The sequence below is a fragment of the Homo sapiens genome, chromosome 5 (assembly GCF_000001405.40).
Source record: "Homo sapiens chromosome 5, GRCh38.p14 Primary Assembly".
NCBI classification, from domain to species: Eukaryota; Metazoa; Chordata; class Mammalia; order Primates; family Hominidae; genus Homo; species Homo sapiens.
In genome coordinates, this window is record NC_000005.10 from 79,674,864 (window position 1) to 79,692,358 (window position 17,495).

General features: G+C 39.0%; 2 protein-coding genes across 82 annotated transcripts in view, besides 1 other annotated feature; both read left to right on the forward strand.

The window, feature by feature from the left end:
- TENT2 (terminal nucleotidyltransferase 2) overlaps window positions 1-13,383 on the forward strand; it is a 75,806-nt gene extending 62,423 nt beyond the window's left edge. For all 79 annotated transcript variants that reach the window (XM_011543221.4, XM_047416850.1, NM_001388126.1 and 76 more), the window contains 3 exons: window positions 4,716-4,807; window positions 7,119-7,198; window positions 10,336-13,383. In XM_011543221.4, the coding sequence (XP_011541523.1) occupies window positions 4,716-4,807; window positions 7,119-7,198; window positions 10,336-10,410 (247 nt within the window). In that variant the 3' untranslated portion in view covers window positions 10,411-13,383. The remainder of the gene's footprint in view (window positions 1-4,715; window positions 4,808-7,118; window positions 7,199-10,335) is intronic.
- Window positions 14,483-14,984: an enhancer, noted in NCBI's record as "H3K27ac hESC enhancer chr5:78985169-78985670 (GRCh37/hg19 assembly coordinates)". NCBI's record gives its function as "activates a minimal SCP1, AML or CMV promoter by ChIP-STARR-seq in naive H9 embryonic stem cells {active_cell/tissue: H9 hESC(naive)}" and the evidence as "EXISTENCE:reporter gene assay evidence [ECO:0000049][PMID:30033119]".
- The window catches only part of CMYA5 (cardiomyopathy associated 5), a 110,387-nt gene continuing 107,864 nt past the window's right edge, over window positions 14,973-17,495 (forward strand). For all 3 annotated transcript variants that reach the window (XR_001742036.3, NM_153610.5, XM_047416911.1), the window contains exon 1: window positions 14,973-15,193. Coding sequence is in view for 2 of the 3 variants with exons in the window: in NM_153610.5 (NP_705838.3) it covers window positions 15,045-15,193 (149 nt within the window). In the remaining variant the exon portion in view is untranslated. The remainder of the gene's footprint in view (window positions 15,194-17,495) is intronic.

Here is a 17,495-nt window from a genome sequence, read left to right on the forward strand (position 1 = left end):
GAATCCAGAGGAGAAAAAAATGTTTTGAGGAGGAAGGAGTGATTATCTGTGTCATTATTTTTTGATAGATTGAGTAAGAAGCTATATGGACTCCTCTGGACCCTTGACAGGAACAGTTTCTGTGGAATAATGGGGATAAAAAGCATAGCATTATTGGTGTGGACTCGAGAAGACAGAGGGAGAATAATTCAATATGGATAATGTAACTCATTCTCTAGAGCAGAAAAAAACAGGGTAAAATTAGAGTGTTAAGTGGAGTCCAGTTTTTGTTTTTATTGTTGGAGAGGAGAAATAACCCATCTTGATGAAAAATTGATGATACCAGAGAAAGGTATAGTAAATTTTTGGAAATAAACTTGTTTGAGTTAAGAATGGTTGGAATCTAGAGCACAAATAGAATAGGAGCACAGATAATTCATTAATAAAGATTAAAAGTAGAATATATGGACACAGGTAAATGTAGCTGAATCAGTGTGGTTGGAGCTAGTAGGAATTATCTTTGGATTGTTTTAGGTTTTTAGTGAAATGAGTCAGGGACATGTGCAGGTAATGATTGTGAAGGTGGAAATTTGAGAAGTAAGACGAAAGTATGAATTGTCATATACTAGAGTAAAAGGGTGGATTAACTATGGAAAGACAGTACGGTTGGGGGTAGTAACATTAAGAGCCCTCTTTAGCTAAGTGATCATTAATTTAAAGTGTGATCATTCTGTATGGTTGCATCTCTCCACCCATGTTCAGCTGCGTGGGAAAGAATTGGGGAGTAGATTTAATCAGGGTTGTGTTTCAGCCAACTAAGTTCAATGCAGCAAGAGTGGGTAAGAGTTGAGAGTATGTGAAAGGGAGTGATTTTAATAACTGACCATGCATGGGATATATTACATTCAGTCTTGAAAATGTGGGCACAGAGATGCCTATAGGACATCCAGGTGACAGTTTCCAATAGCTGGTTGTAAATGTTAGCCTGGAACTTACTAGAAAGGTCAGAGCTGGAAAAAGGATTTGGGAAAGAAACATCAGATTATTGGAGCCTAAGGTGTGTACTCTAGCATTAGAAGATTCAAAGAGGCTGAGCCCTGATGGATACTAACATTTAAAGGTTCAGATAGAAGATGAGAAGCCAGTCAAAACAGAACTCTAGGATTAGAGTAAAATTTTTTCCCTACCTACGACATTTGAAATTCTTAACCAAGTTTTCTTTCTGTTTGCTTCCCAGCCCATAACAATAAAACAAAATTATATATATTTGTTCACTTAATTTTACTAGTATATATACATATATATATACATATATATGTATACACACACACACACACACACACACACAGCCATATGGTATCAGACTCATAATTTTGACTTTATTAGACTTGAATTTTTCTTTATGTCGCTTAAGACAGCATTTCCAGTTTAATCAGTTGCCTCAAAATACTTTCTGTGGTCACAAAAAGAATGGGGCTGGGCACAGTGGCTCACGCACCTTGGGAGGCTGAGGTGGGCAGATCGCTTGAGGTCAAGAGTTTGAGACCAGCCTGGCCAAATAGTGAAATGCCGTCTCTGCTAAAAATACAAAAATTAGCCAGGCATGGTGGTGGGCGCCTGTAATCCCAGCTACTCGGGATGCTGAGGCAGGAGAATTGCTTGAACCTGGGAGGCACGGAGGTTGCAGTGAACTGGGATTGCGTCACTGCACTCCAGCCTGGGTGACAGAGCAAGACTCTGACTAATAAATAAATAAAAAGAATGGCTAAAGAGAGTTTATTGATGAATGCCAGTCTGTTAACATTACCAAAGAAGCAAGTACCTAACTTGCTTCTAATATAATTGGTTGTCTCAGTTTTATATTTAAAAGATGATCATGTATTATCAGTGTATTTTAGATTAAATTAAGCCCCATATCTGTTCTTCTTTCTGAAACATCTCTCTTGTGTAGATTCTGTATCTTATTTTACACTTTAATTATTGAGTGACGATAACAATTTTTACATGCTAAGCAAATTATGTTAGAGAGTAGATTAGTATGATAAAAGGCTTAGGTTATGGGCTGTGTTTTAAAGAATGAAATATTTAGGGAAGATATTTCTAAATTACCATTTAAATTCAACTCTTGAGAAGACCATTTGAGTCCAGGAGATTGAGGCTGCAGTGAGCCATGATTGTGCCACCGTACCCCAGCCTGGGCTTGTCGACAAAGCCCTGTCTCAAAAAATATATAACTAAATCTACCTTTAGAGTACAAAGAGTATACAATTATATGTCACGTTTTAATGATTTGAAATGTTTAACAATCTAGAAATATTTAAAAGTTCTTTGAAAATGCAGTAGATTGAATCAGTCCAAATAGTAGTGATTCAAAATATTCTTTTTTCTTTTTGAAGCACTTCAAATGATATAATCATTTTAATAACTGCATTATTTGGGTTTATTGTACATTGAAACTTAAATGATATCTGGTAAGGGATTATAATAAAATGAATATATCTATTAACATATATCTCATACTGTTTCTGTGACCCAGTTTAGAACCAAGTAGTGGCATGTAGTGTAAAATCAGGATTTGTTTTAATAGAAATACAGTGGTAAAGATAGAATTTTTGATTTAAGGAAATAAAAGTTGTAATTTAACAGCAAGATATTGTATTTCAATATTCCAAACTCTTCTGAAAGTTAAAAATCAATCTATGCCCTATAAAAATAATGTTTACAGTTTTAATTCTGCAGATTTAGTTGTCCTATAATCTGTTATTAGAAAACAAATAGTCTCAAGGGAAAATTCATTTTGTTAATAAATTTGACTTAACTAGTATAAAGTGAAGGGATGCAAACTGTAGTATGTAACCTTGTTTGCTTCAGGTTTGTGGCTATATAACTCCCCTCTTCACATTGTTGTTGTAAAGAAACAATGTAAGAAAATTGTTGGAAACATTTGTGTGGATGTTTTTGTTTTTTGTTTTTTTAAGATAGGGTCTCACTTTGTCAGTCAGGCTGGAGTGCAGTGGCACGATCACAGCTTACTGCAGCCTCAACCTCCCCTTGCTCAGGTGATCCTTCCACCTCAGCCTCCTGAGTAGCTGGGACTATAGGCGCCACCACGCCTGCTACTTTTTGGATTTTTAGTAGAGACATTTGAAACAATAGAGCAGAGTAGTCTTTCTGTTTGGAGTCTGTACTAATGAACTGCAATACATGAGGGATCTAAAACATTTTCCTGTAACCAATACTATTTCCATTTGACAACCCACTTAATTTTTAAAAAGCACAAATCCTGTTATATATATTTTTAAAGAACTTAAAACTTTCACAAACTCCTCTTGATCGGAACAAAAATAAATTATACTTTCAGTGTGCTTTACAAGAATCAAAATTCACAAGATGCAAGATTTTTCATGCTTATTTAATATAGAAATTAATCAAATTTCTATAAACAAATGCCATACAGGACCCATGATTATATTCTTAGAAATTCTCTTTTTGATAAATAGAGGAGAAGTGTAGGGTAAGTGTTGGAAGGTCCCAAGTGATAGTCTTTCTCTGCTTGCTTAAATGGTAGAGAAAGTTAAATACTACTTAAAAAATGGTATCAGCTGTTCCTCAAATTTATTTTTCTCTCATATACAAGCTGGGTAGTCATATACTTTAAAATGTTCCTTGAAAAAAAAGAAAATACTTGTAATAACTGTTAGATAAACCTTTTTAAAAAAATGTAAAGTTAGTATGTACTAAATACTGGACAGGCCTGCTGATGAGATTGTTTTACTTGAATAAAATTTTACTCTTAACAGCTGCATCTGATATACAGCCATTAAGTATATTTTCATAGAGTATTAATTTTGCTTTCCTAAAACAGCATCCACTTCTATCGAAAATTTCAAAATTTTCTCCCAAATCATACACATAAAGATGTACCTGAACAAAAACTATTTAATAACACAAGAAGATAACACTAGAAGATTACTTCTGTCTTAACAAATAACAGATTGTTACTGCGTTGTTAACTATGACCATAGTTGTTTTTGTTTGTTTACTTGTACTTTCTTTTCTTTTCTTTTCTTTTTTCTTTTTTTGAGATGGAGTCTCGCCCTGTCACCAGGCTGGAGTGCAGTGGCATGACCTCTGCTCACTGCAACCTCCGCCTCCTGGGTTCAAGCGATTCCCCTGCCTCAGCCTCCTGAGTAGCTGGGACTACAGGTGCACGCTACTGCGCCTGGCTAATTTTTGTATTTTTAGTAGAGATGGGGTTTCACCATCTTGGCCAGGCTGGTCTTGAACTCTTAACCTCGTGATCCACCTGCCTCAGCCTCCCAAAGTGCTGAGATTACAGGAGTGAGCCTCTGCGCCCAGCCTGTACTTTCTTATTTTTCCAGTTACTTCATTTTTTCAATAAATATGTGTTGAAAACCTGGTATGTACTATGCACCTAGGTGAAGAGTGAAAAAAAGAAATATCCAGTATCTTGGAGCTTTCATCCTACTTGAGGGAGACACAATGAAGAATAACATAATAAATAGTAAATGTAAGAAACAAATTCTTAGAAGATGATAAGTGTTGTGGAAAAAAAAATATAGAGGTGGGAAATAGGGATTGTGGTGCTGAGGGTTGGGGCACAGGTTTCAGTGTTCCACAAGAAAATTGGGGTAGGCCTTAGTATTGATACAATAAAAATAATATAAGAGAAATTATGAAAATAGTTAACATGGTTACTGTTTTTCTTCTTATAGCTGGAATAGTCAAATGATTTCAGTTCGTGAAGCCAAAGCCATTCCAAGGCCTGATGGTATTGAATGGAGAAATAAATACATCTGTGTAGAAGGTAGTTTTCTGTTTACCATCTACGTATCATCATGGTACTAAGAGAATTACTTGAGTAATTTCAGCTGTGTTTCAGTTAAAAGTAATACATTTATGTCTGAAGTGATTTGTAAGTCTTTTAGTTTAAAATTTTTAATTTTAAAAAGTCATTTAAAATTTTTTAGGTATGAGAAATAATAAACATAAACTTTAGGCATTCACCCTTTCTAGTTGGTAAGATTCGAGCTGTCTTTATCCCTCTTACTTGTGGTTGATGGATAATTTCATGACTTACAGATGGAAGAAAATAGAATCTTTATATGTGATTCTTATATTGACATAAAATGAGTTATATTCTTTTATACTTAAAATATTAGTGCAAGTTGGACTTTTATTAATAGAAATTGATGTTGCTTTAAAAATTAAATGATCTGAAGAAATTTTCTTCTCTAAAATTAATTTACATGTAGTTGAATATATCCTTGAGACACTTTGAGTGAGTAGAAAACTGACTTCAAGGGACAAAATTATTCTCATAGATGCTAAATTGAAGGCCTTTGTAAATCTGGAGGTTAAAAAGTATAAATAGTTGAGAATCAGCATTTGTAGAAAACATCAGATTTTGGATGTTTTAATCTTGAATTATATGCAGTATTTTAAGAGTTTGTGAATATGAAATTAAATCTCCTGCTTTGGTGTGCTAATAAATGGCACTGGGTGGGCATTATTTTAGTTACTTGTGTTCAGTTGAATACTAAACCCTGTTCTAAAGTGCTATGATGATGCAATTCAGTATAATTTGGCATATGACCTTATTCTGTTAAGGAAAAGAACCCCACGATACTGTGATGGTAAACTGCTTTTTAACATAGCCTTTCTAAGCACTAAAAAATAAGCAAGAGGAGTATTTAAAATTATGGGCCTGTGTAGATTATATGACAAATCTAAAAGTTTTGACCTTTCCATCAGACTCCCTATTCTTCCGTACTTTTTCTAGGTCTTTCCCCTCGGTTACCTTTCCTCTTACCAACAACTTCATTCTTTCTGCCTCCAGTCTTTCGCTTTCAGCTTTAAGACATACATAGGTCTTCTCATTCTTGAAAAATACTCTTTATTTGGTCCTACTGGTTCTTCTGTGCATTTTTCCTCCTTTTTCCATGCTAAAATTCTTAATTTCTAGTAATGTTTACCTACTGCTGGCATTATTTAAGACATTTCATCTCATTCCTGATGCCTTTAGTTATCCTTGTCTTCTCATTATTATCTTCAGTTTCCTCGTACTCTTCTGGTTTCTTCCTGTCTCTCTATATGGATTCTTCACTTTTGTGGGTGAAAGGTGAGTGGGATGGTGGTGTGAACATGGAAAGTATATATATTGGAGACACACATACATAAAAACTGTTCCTTTGTTTTTTTCCTGTCTTCTGTTTGCTTTTCTCTTTTTCTGTTTTCTTTTTCTGCCAAATTTCTCATGCAAGTTACTTCTTTTTTCTTTTCTTTGATTTTTTTTTTTTTTTTTTTTTTTTTTTTGAGATGGAGTCTCTCTCTTTCGCCAGGCTGGAGTGCAGTGGCGTGATCTCGGCTCACTGCAACCTCTACCTCCCAGGTTCAAGTGATTCCCCTGCCTCAGCCTCCCGAGTAGCTGGGACTACAGGCGCGCACCACCATGCCCAGCTAATTTTTGTATTTTTAGTAGAGGTGGGGTTTCACCATGTTGGCCAGGATGGTCTCGATCTCTTGACCTTGTGATCCACCCACCTCAGGCTCCCAAAGTGCTGGGATTACAGGCGTGAGCCACTGTGTCTGGCCAGACTTCACTGTATCTTTTTCTAAACCATCCACTTGGGCCATAACTCCCTGCATTGTCTTCCATTTTCTCCAGTATTGAACCTCTACCTTCAAAGGACAAATCAGCTTTTAAGTTAAAATTAAAGTTACCTTTCTGTGATATTTAACATTAACTGCCTCTCTTCGATATAATGCTTTCTTCTTTTTGATGACTTTTTATTATTTTCCTAAGGGTAGGTCTTTGACCCTCTGTAATTTTTCAGAAACCTTATCCACATTTATGATTTAGACTTAACACACCTATGCTGATGACTTTCATTTTTGATCACCCTCTCCCTTGAATTCTATCTACCTTATTAGGCAGTTCATAGTATATCAAGCTTTTCTGTATACATAAATCTAATAAAGATATTAGGCTGACCCATCTGAAATTGCAATTTTTGTAGGTTAAAAACTGTTAACATATTGACAGTATCAAACCTAAAAAAGAAACTGTAGCTCTCATTTTAATAATTTTTCCTTTACATTTGCATTTAACATTGCAGAACCTTTTGATGGAACAAATACAGCCAGAGCAGTGCACGAAAAGCAGAAATTTGATATGATCAAGGATCAATTTTTAAAGGTAAACAATGCATTAGATCAACCCTAGAAACATTAGTAGACTAGTATGCTTTAAACAGGAAAAAATACGTGTGTAGTAGGACAGAATGGTTTCTCTTCTGTGAATCCATTAATATAGCATGATAGAGAACTTATTATTTGAATTTAGTTAAACTTTTCCTTCAAAGAGATCTGGCTCTGTTTTTATTCACATTGCTTTCACTTTCATAGAAATAAGCATTTTCTCTTTTCTTTTTGAGACGGAGTTTCACTCTTGTTGCCCAGGCTGGAGTGTAGTGGCACAGTCTCAGCTCACTGCATCCTTCACCTCCCAGGTTCAAGGGATTCTCCTGCCTCAGCCTCCCAGATAGCTTGGATTACAGACGAGTGCCACCACACCCAGCTAATTTTTTTTTTTTTTTTTTTGTAGAGACAGGGTTTCACCATGTTGGTCAGGCTGGTCTCAAACTCCTGACTTCAGGTGATTCACCCCCGTCTTCCTCCCAAAGTGCTGGTATTACAGGCATGAGCCACCATGCCCTACCGAAATAAGCATTTTCGTAGTGAGCTTATTAAATTTCCAAAATAAGTGAATAAAACCTAATGGACTCTTTTCCTTCCTTAGTGTATTGGGGAATTTATTGTGGCCTTAGAAGGAAGCTGATGTCTGATCCATGCTTTTTCTAATGTATACCCCACTGTCACAGGAATTAGAGTGCTGTTTTATCTTTGTTTATATTTAGGAAAGTTAAAATTTATGTATATGTCTGTGTTTATAGTATGAATTTATTCATCAGTGATGTTGCTAGATGTGGTCTTAATCTTCAGGGACTTCACAACACATTGTAGAAATGCCTTGATATATGTATTGAGACATGGAGGGGAGGGAAAGCTTTGTAGAAGAAAAAGATGAGAGAACCGCAAAGATCATTTTAGAGGCATACTTTTTCATTATCTAGACATTCAAGTGGACTTTATTTTAATGATAATTTAAAATGCAAGTATTGAGGCATGAGTATCACTGGAACCAGGAGTTCGAGGCTGCAGTGGGCTATTATCAAGTTGCTGCACTTCAAGCCTAGACAACAGAGTGAGAGACTCCACCTCTAAAAAAAAAATGAATAAAAATAATGGCCAGGTGCAATGGTTCACACCTGTAATCCAAACACTTTGTGAGGCCAAGGCAGGAGGATTGCTTGAGGCCAGGAGTTTAAGACCAGCCTGGGCAACGCATAGCAAGACATAGTTCACACACACACATGCACGCACATGCTCACACACACACACACACACACACACACACCCCACCTCACCTCACCCCACCCCTGGGTGTAGTGGTATGCACCTGTGTCTTAGCTACTGGGGAGGCTGAGTGGAGAGAAAAGCCTTGAGCCCAGGAGGTTGAGGGTGCAGTGAGCTGTGATTGTGCCACCGCACTCCAGCCTGAGCATGAGTAATAGAGTGATACCTTGTTTCAAATAAATAAATAAATAGATAAAATATAAGTATTCTATTACAAGCTGTCGTTCAAATGAGACTTTCTTAATTTGGCAACCAGAATAGAAAATTTGTCTTATAGAAATTCTTTAATTTTGGCCGGGCGCGGTGGCTCACGCCTGTAATCCCAGCACTTTGGGAGGCCGAGGCGGGCGGATCACGAGGTCAGGAGATCGAGACCATCCCGGCTAAAACGGTGAAACCCCGTTTCTACTAAAAAAAAAATACAAAAAATTAGCCGGGTGTAGTGGCGGGCGCCTGTAGTCCCAGCTACTTGGGAGGCTGAGGGAGGCAGGAGAATGGCGTGAACCCGGGAGGCGGAGCTTGCAGTGAGCCGAGATCCCGCCACTGCACTCCAGCCTGGGCGACAGAGCGAGACTCCGTCTCAAAAAAAAAAAAAAAAAAAAAAAAAAAAAGAAATTCTTTAATTTTAAAACAAATATTCAAGAGAGAATATTTTTGTTTATCAGATTAAATTGAGAACTCAAAATTAGCAATGCTACATTGGTGTTCTTATTGATGAGTGAGCTTTCATTTAGGATTGTTTAGTTGTAAAACCAATACTTTTAGACAATCGAATAACTGACATGAGACTAGAATACAAAGATCTGCAGTCACCAAGTAGTGAGACAGATTTTTAGCTTGTGAACAAGTTTCTTTTCTTCTCCTTATCAATTCAAATCACCATTTGAATTTTCCAGAGGCATACATAAAGTGCCTTATTGTAAATTTACTCTCTCCTTCATAAATACTATATATTTTTTTGAGACAGGGTCTTGCTCTGTTACCCAGACTCAGGCAGCCTCAATCTCCTGCGCTCAATGATCCTCCCACCTCAGCCTCCTGAGTGCTGGGACTATAGGCGTGTGCCACCATACCCAGCCAATTTTTGTATTTTTTGTACAGACAGGGTTTCACCATGTTGCCCAGGCTGGCCTTCAGCTCCTGAGCTCAAGTGATCTGCCCACCTCAGCCTCCCAGAATTCTGGAATTATAGGCATGAGACACTATACCCAGTCTCATAATTATTGTTTTTAATGCAAAAAGCTAGTAAAGATGTAAGACAGTCAATCAAATAATTGAAATAATCCTCTCTTCTCAAATCCAAAGGTTTTGTCTTAATTACCTTGCTACTTTTAGATTGAATTAATCCGTGAATAAATATTAATATTGTCAGTTGTATCTTTCAGTACCACCTATGTGCCCATTTCTTTATTAATGAATTGGAACCATAAAAATATGGAGTTTTTAAATAACATTTTCTTTTCTGATGACAGAAACAATACTTACACTGTGTTAAAAACTTGGAAAATAAAAACTTAGCCAGCCTGGGCAATACAATGAGACCTTGTCTCTACAAAAAAATTTAAAAATAGCTGAGCGTGATGGCATACGCCTGTAGTCCCAGCTACTCAGGAGGCAGAGGTGGGAGGATCTCTTGAGCCTGGAAAGCGGAGGTTGTAGTGAGCCGAGATTGCACCACTGCACTCCAGCTTGGGTGGCAGAGTGAGACCTTATCTCAAAAAAAGAAAAAATTTGAAGGAAAAAATTATTCAAAATTTATCACCTAGAGAGAACCAACTATTAACATTCTTTTAAACTCTCAGTCTTTTGTTCTGCATAAATTTTAGGTTTTAAGAATGATTTTTCTTTCTCTCCCAGTCATGGCACAGATTGAAAAACAAGAGAGATTTGAACAGTATACTACCTGTAAGAGCTGCTGTCCTGAAAAGATAACTGGCCTCTATTTCTTAATAAATTCTTCCAAGAAATAAAGAACAATAGTTTCATCATAATACATTATGTTTACCTCCATCATAGTTGCTTTTTTCATAGTTCTTGTTTTCATGTTTTATTTTTAAAAAGACATATAAAGATTGCATATTTTATTATGACATTTCCTAATAAACCCCTTTGATTTAAAAATGTATTTTTAAAAATGTTTACATTGATGATGAGTAATATTGCATGTGTTTTCAGGTGATCAGATAAAATATATTTTGGGAAATTAACTGAACAAATAAAAAGTTTTTGATATAACTTCAATTAATTGTACCACATGCTAATCCTGAAGAGATGTGTAGAATTTTGGAAAGGGTCTAATTCATACATGCTTAAAGTATAACCTACGTTAGATAGTTTGTTGTCAAAGTCTGTTCTAGTAAAGTGAAGATTCAAGTCAGTTGTTCAGTTACTTGAAGCAAAACGAAATCTTTCATTTCAGTCAAATCACTGCAGTCATGAAATACTGAACAATTGCCTTAAGTCTTTGCTTGACTCACTGGGATAGACTGAGGCTTTGGGTGTGTCTGTATTAGCATTTCATTAGTACTTCACATGCTTTTGATGTACTCTTGAGATTGCTTTAAATTTTGTATTGAAACAACAATACATTTTGCACTGTAGTAATGGGAGCACTAACTCTTACAACAGTTAGTGAATCGTTTTAAAGAATCAGTTCAGTGTAGACATTTTGAAAAGATTGTTTCCTGTGCTTTACGATAGCTTAGTGCAATGTGCACTTCTGTTTTACTTGCCATTTTCCTGCTCTGTTTTCTCTGTGACATGAAGCAACAGAAACTGAGATCAAAGTTAAGATTATATCCTGTTTGTAGTATCAGATATTTTTCTGTGTACAATTATAGGATTGTAATCTAAACTGGAATTTTTAGGCAGTAAGTCACCACAAAATGTTTTAGATAAGACACAATAAAATTATTATAAATAAAAGCTTAATGTTTGTAAAAAATCTCTTTTTTAGTATTTCTTTTTTCACATGAAAGAAGTGGTGGCTGCTAAAAAAAAAGCTACAGTGTTTATTAAGGGTCTTTTTGATTTATGTAAATATTTGTAAATTGGTCAGTGCCTGTAAATTTAAATATAAAAAGTAACCTTGAAAACAGTTTTAACTTTTTCAAAAGAACTATGTCCAACATTTTTTAGACCTGCTGTAGTACAGTTTTGTACCTCTAACGTATTTTTTTTTTGCAGACCAAATGCTAAAACTTTTGCTTTTCTTTGACTTGTAAAAGGTGCACATTTTCATTTTCTTCCTTAAGTTCAAATTTTTGTATGATGTCAAATGCAATAAAATTTATATATGGACATTGTTGAGGTGCCTTTTTTTTCTGTGAAAATCTTTGCTTTGAGATGAGACCGAGGCTGTAGTTATCATCTAGAACTGAACTAAATCTACTTATTAGCCAGCTAACGACATCAATATCTTATGTCTCTGGCATTATGAGGAATGAAAGTTTACACATAGTGAATTTTTTAGATTCCTGATGTGTAACACTTTTTATGCATTTGAGCTTTTCATATTTTGGGGGGGAATTTTTCCTAAAATTTACACTGTGCATCTCTTAATCAGAATGTACTGAGTAGAGTTAATATTCTAGTGATGACTGGGTAATCATTATAAGCATTAGTCATAGTACTATTCAGTAATACTGTGCAACTTTCAGGGATGGGTAAGTATGTACCCTCTGCCTCTACAGTATTATGACATTTCCTAATAAAACCCCAGAATTTACCATGGTGTGGGTTCCTTCACTGTCACTGTTTTCTCAGTTTTCAGTGGCCCCACACTTACTACTGCTTTTCTTTGTTTTACCACGAAAAACAGATCAAGAAGTCACTAAACTTAGACCCAATTCTATATCAGTAGACTGAGGCCTGAAATTATGCACACATAACTGGCCAAATATCAGATAAGTGAACTGTTAATATATGAGAGAATTTTCTGGACTTTTAAGTTATTAATCTCAATTATTTGTGTGGTGAGTACTAAATTATTTTCTGTTTGTGTTGATCTGTCCATTTCTGTATATAGTTGTCCCTCAGTATATTGAGGGATTGATTCCAGGTCAACCCCGTCCTCTTCAGATACCAAAATCCACAGATACTCAAGTCCCTTATATAAAATGGTGTAGTGTTTGCATATATCCTACACACATTCTCTTGATACTTTAAATCATCTCTAAATTACCTGATACGTAATACAATGTAAATGCTATGTAAATAGTTGTTATACTGTATTGTTTAGGGAATAATAATGACAAGACAAAAAGTCTATACCTGTTCGGTACAGATGCAACCATTCTGCCTCCTCCCTACCCCCTCCCAAATATTTTTCATCCTGGTTGAATTCACAAATCCTACATGGTTACGGAGGGTTGACTGTATTTGCATATGTTGTTAAAGTGGTGTTTAAAATGTGCAATCTGTACTACAATTCTAAATTTTGGATTGATTTGAACTAGGATCTTTGCAAATAAATCTCATAGACATTAATGTTTGTAAGAAATTTTTAATTAAATGATGGAAGGAACATAGAATGGCTACCTGTGATTTTGATTAGTGTTTAACAGATTGCCACAGCTGTGATTGAATTCCTTTTGTACTGGATGAGCATGGTCATTTGGGATTACTGATGGTGAAGTCTAGCTGGTGTTAAGAGAATAAATATTGCTGATGCTAAACCTGGTTTAGTGAGCTGTGGAAGCCTTGACTCTGCTGTTTTCCCTCCTTATGCCCCACTAGCTGATGTATCTGTACTGTAATTCAATGATTTACAGTTCATTACCTCCAGACATAATGCATGCATACCAGCTCGTGTAACTGGTGAATAATCCCCAGCTTACAGTCATATTTAACAACTCTGTGACTTGCTATAATTAAAAATAAATGTTAACTCTTCTAGCCATCAAATCATTCTCATGAAATGAATATCTTTATTGTAAAGTTACCTCCATTTGTACATAGCAGTTCTGGTTCTGTTCTCTTCAGGGAGCATCCATTATATGTACCTGCTATGTGCTAGCTACTTTGCTAGTGTGTAGGCTTGTAAGAGATGGGGATGATGGGACAAAGAAGAGTAGTAAACTTACGAAGTCTGCTGGGGAAGGAGATACAAACATAATTTGAATATAGGATTATGTGGGAACCTGGAAGAGAGGTACTGAGTTTAACTTTGGGATTTCAGTGAAAGGTGGTGATCTTGAATGATGGGTATCCTGGTAAAAATGGGACCAACCTTTGAGGCAGAAGGAATTGTGTTAATAAAGACACAGTGGAGTGACTTGACAATGTTGGGAACTCCTGACTTCTAAAGACACCTGACCAGCTGGGCGTGGGGGCTCACACCTGTAATTCCAGAACTTTGGGAGGCTGAGGTGGGCAGATCACCTGAGGTCAGGAGTTCGAGACTAGGCTAGCCAATATGGTGAAACCCCGTCTCTACTAAAAATACAAAAATTAGCTGGGCATGGTGGTGCGCGCCTGTAGTCCCAGCTACTCGGGAGGCTGAGGCAGGAGAATCGCGTGAACCCAGGAGGTGGAAGTTGCACTGGACCGAGATCGCGCCATTGCACTCCAGTCTGGGCGACAAGAGCAAGACTCCATCTCAAAAAAAAAAAAAGAGTAGACAGGTAAAACATGGCCTGTTAGGCAACCGTTACCTTTGTGAGGGTGTTGGGGTTCAGTCTTTGAGCAGTGGGAAGCCATTGAGGGGTTTTAACCACAACTTGATCCGGGGAAAGGTTTGGGGCATTTGGGCCAGTTTCAGACAAAACTTAGCTTTTTGCTAACGTGGGGGAAATTGCTCCTCCTCAAGGTTTAAGATGAGTGGAGATAAAGTTTCCTGGCTCAATAACAGGGACCACTGAGCAAGAAAATACACAGTATATTGACTTGCGATATAAAGAGAGCCGGGACGGAACACTGGTTCAAAACTGGGCTTTTGAGCAGGGCACGCCTAGCTTTGTTTCTCATTGGGTCATTTTACTAGCAATGACAGCCTGAGCTGCTGGAGCTCTTCGGAGTCTCAGTTTCCTCATCTGGGAAACCAGCACTACAGTAAAACCTTCTACAGGTACCACCACAGAATCGAGGTAATGAAAGCGAGACCCTTAGCAGAGTGCCTGGTAGTTAAGTGCCCAGCTCAGGGTATTGTTTGGGATAAAGGGTCCAGAAAGTAGCTCAGCTCAAAACCGAAAAGACTCACTCTGGAGGAAATAAGAGACGGGGCTAGGTTGCCTTTCCTCCTTTGAACCCCCTGGTGCAGCCGGAGCCCGCGCCCCTTAAAGTGATCTCCAGTTGTCCGAAAGGCCCGCCAGGGATCTGGCGAAACGGGGGCGGGGGAGGGCTCAGGGAAGAGGAGAAGCTGAGCCCGGGCCCCAGAAGCTCGGTGGCGAAACTTTGACGCCTTCTATTTAAAGTCGCGGGGCTCGCCCGCCCCCGGCGCCGGGAACCCGAGCCGCCCCCGCAGGGGCAGGGCTGGGGAGGGCAGGGGCCAGAGCAGTCGGAGGGAGAACACCAGGCGCGGCGCGGGCGGCTCCGGCTCCGGCCCCGGCCCAGGCCCGGGAGAGGCGATGGCGAGCCGCGATAGCAACCACGCTGGCGAGAGCTTTCTCGGCTCCGACGGGGACGAGGAGGCGACCCGGGAGCTGGAGACCGAGGAGGAGTCGGAGGGCGAGGAGGACGAGACGGCGGCGGAGTCGGAGGAGGAGCCGGACTCCAGGTAGCGCGAGCCTCTCTCCTCGGCCCAGGGCCTGCAGGGCAGCTAGCAGCACCCTTGCTTGTTTGCTTTAAGTTTTTAAGCTCTGGGGTTCGTTTGCCTCGAGCTAGGCACTTTCTCTCTGGGTGCACTGTCGTTTAAAAGAACTTGAAGGTGAAGGTGCTCGCTGTCAGCTGGAGTGACAGGCCCGCCTGCAGCAGAGTTCATTACCCCCGCCCCCAGCTCCTTGTGACTCGCTGCTCTTGTTTATTCCTGAGGATTTACTTAGGTCCTGCATAACTGCCGAAATGTGCTGGAACACGTACATCTGGCCCGAGGCACAGGAACAATCGCGAAATCCTGCGCTAGAGGAGAAGGGGGTGGGGTGGAGGCGGTGAAGGCGCACTGGTACCTTCCGATGAATGGCGGTCTCCCCGGGGGCCTAGCAGTAGGCTAGGCTGCAATAAGGTGACCTTATTTTGATACAAAGGCCCATAAATTCTTTGGGGGAAAAGAAGCATGAGTTTCAGTAATCCCTGTTCTTCAAGTCCTGGTCCCAAATCCCAAATATCAGTTTCCGTGAATGCGATGAAGTAATACTATGTACAAAAGATGCACCTCCCACCCTTCGATCTCCCACCCTCCGTCCCTTTAAGAAGGCCCTAAAATGAGAATAATAGAAATCATCTAATGTCTATTTGGATTAGCTTCTACCTTCACTTGTTTTCCTTGAGTATGAGTTTTGGGTTTTTTCCTGACTGTGTGTCAGTCAGTGATGTCTCTTCCTCAGTCTGTTCATAACAGTAGAAAGGCTTTGAAGGTGGCAGGTGGGTGTGTACCATCTCAGAACGCCCAGCTTACCTAATCAAAGCCAGCAGAGCCGATGTTGAAGAAGTAGCCCATAGAGGGGCATTGAGGAGGATGGATGGTCAGACAAGAAGTCCTGAATGTATGTCACCTGTTTATCAAACAGCTGCCAAGTGGGAAGCAAGCACAGTCCCTGGCCTCAAGGACCTTGTGGAAAAAGTTTCCCTAACTTTTTCCCCTATGGGGAAACGTTTCCCTAACATGGGGAGTGTGAGACTATATAGAGGTGGAAGGGAGGACTATGGGTACTGTGCAAGGGCAGAAGAGGGAGTGTTGGGCTGGAGCTGCCTTGAAGTAGTGGGCAGGGACTACAAACAGGAAGAGCAGAGGAGAAGGCACCTGTAGGAAGTGGATCAGGGAGTAGGGGACCTGTGATCCCTTGGCAGTGTTGAGAAGGGGAAGTCTGTCAACTCAGCTTTTATAACCTTTCCCTTACTGTTGTCTGGGATCCTCATATCCTTGCCCAACCACAATTTACAACCAAGAGAATCTGAAAACTCATTTACACTAAAATGTGAGCAGCTGACCATTCACTCTGGGGTTGCATTGCCATTTGACAAAGGTCAAGGCCTTCAGAAAAGGATGTGATTTGTCTGCAGTAAACTTCAGCCTGTTCTGACTACAGACAGTAAGGTGGACACCAGGGAAAGAGGTCAGAATAAATAGAGTGGAGGGACACATGAGGGAATATGGAAAATGGAGGCCTGGAAAAAGCATCCAATTTATTTTTTATTGGATGACAAGGGTAACAGGAAGTCAGCAAAACTTCTGGATTTAGGAAAAACACGTATCGACGAAAAAGCATCAAACTCTGTAAAATATCTGAAGAGATTGGTTCTGAGCCAAATATGAGTGACCAATGGCCTGTGACACGGCCTGCAGGAGATCCTGAGAACATGTGGCCAAGGTGGTTGGGGGACAGCTTAATTTTACACATTTTAGGGAGACATGAGACCTCAATCAAATACATGTAAGATGCACATTGGTTTGGTCCAGAAAGGTGGGAAAACTGAAGGGCATGGGGGCTTCTAGGTTATAGGTAGGTTTAAGTTTTTTCTGATTGGCAATTGGTTGAAAGAGTTAAGTTATTCTCTTAAGACTTGGAATCAGTGGAAAGGAATGTCTGCATTATGATAAGGGGATGTTGAGACCAAAGTTTTATCATGCAGATGAAGCCTCCAGGTAGCCAGCTGGAGAGAGAATAGATTGTAAGTGTTTCTTATTAGACTGAAAGAGTTGTTCTATCAGTAATTCCAAAAGGGAGGGGGGTGTAGTGTAGTGAGGCATGTTCCATCTCCCCACCTCCACCATCACGGCCTGAGTGAGTTTTTCAGGTTAGCTTTGGAATGCCCTTGCTGAAAGGAGGGGTCCACTCAGATGGTCGGGGGCTTAGAATTTTATTTTTGGTTTGCAAACCTTCATTTTTAAAAATTCAAAAGACACAAAGTAATCTGTAAAC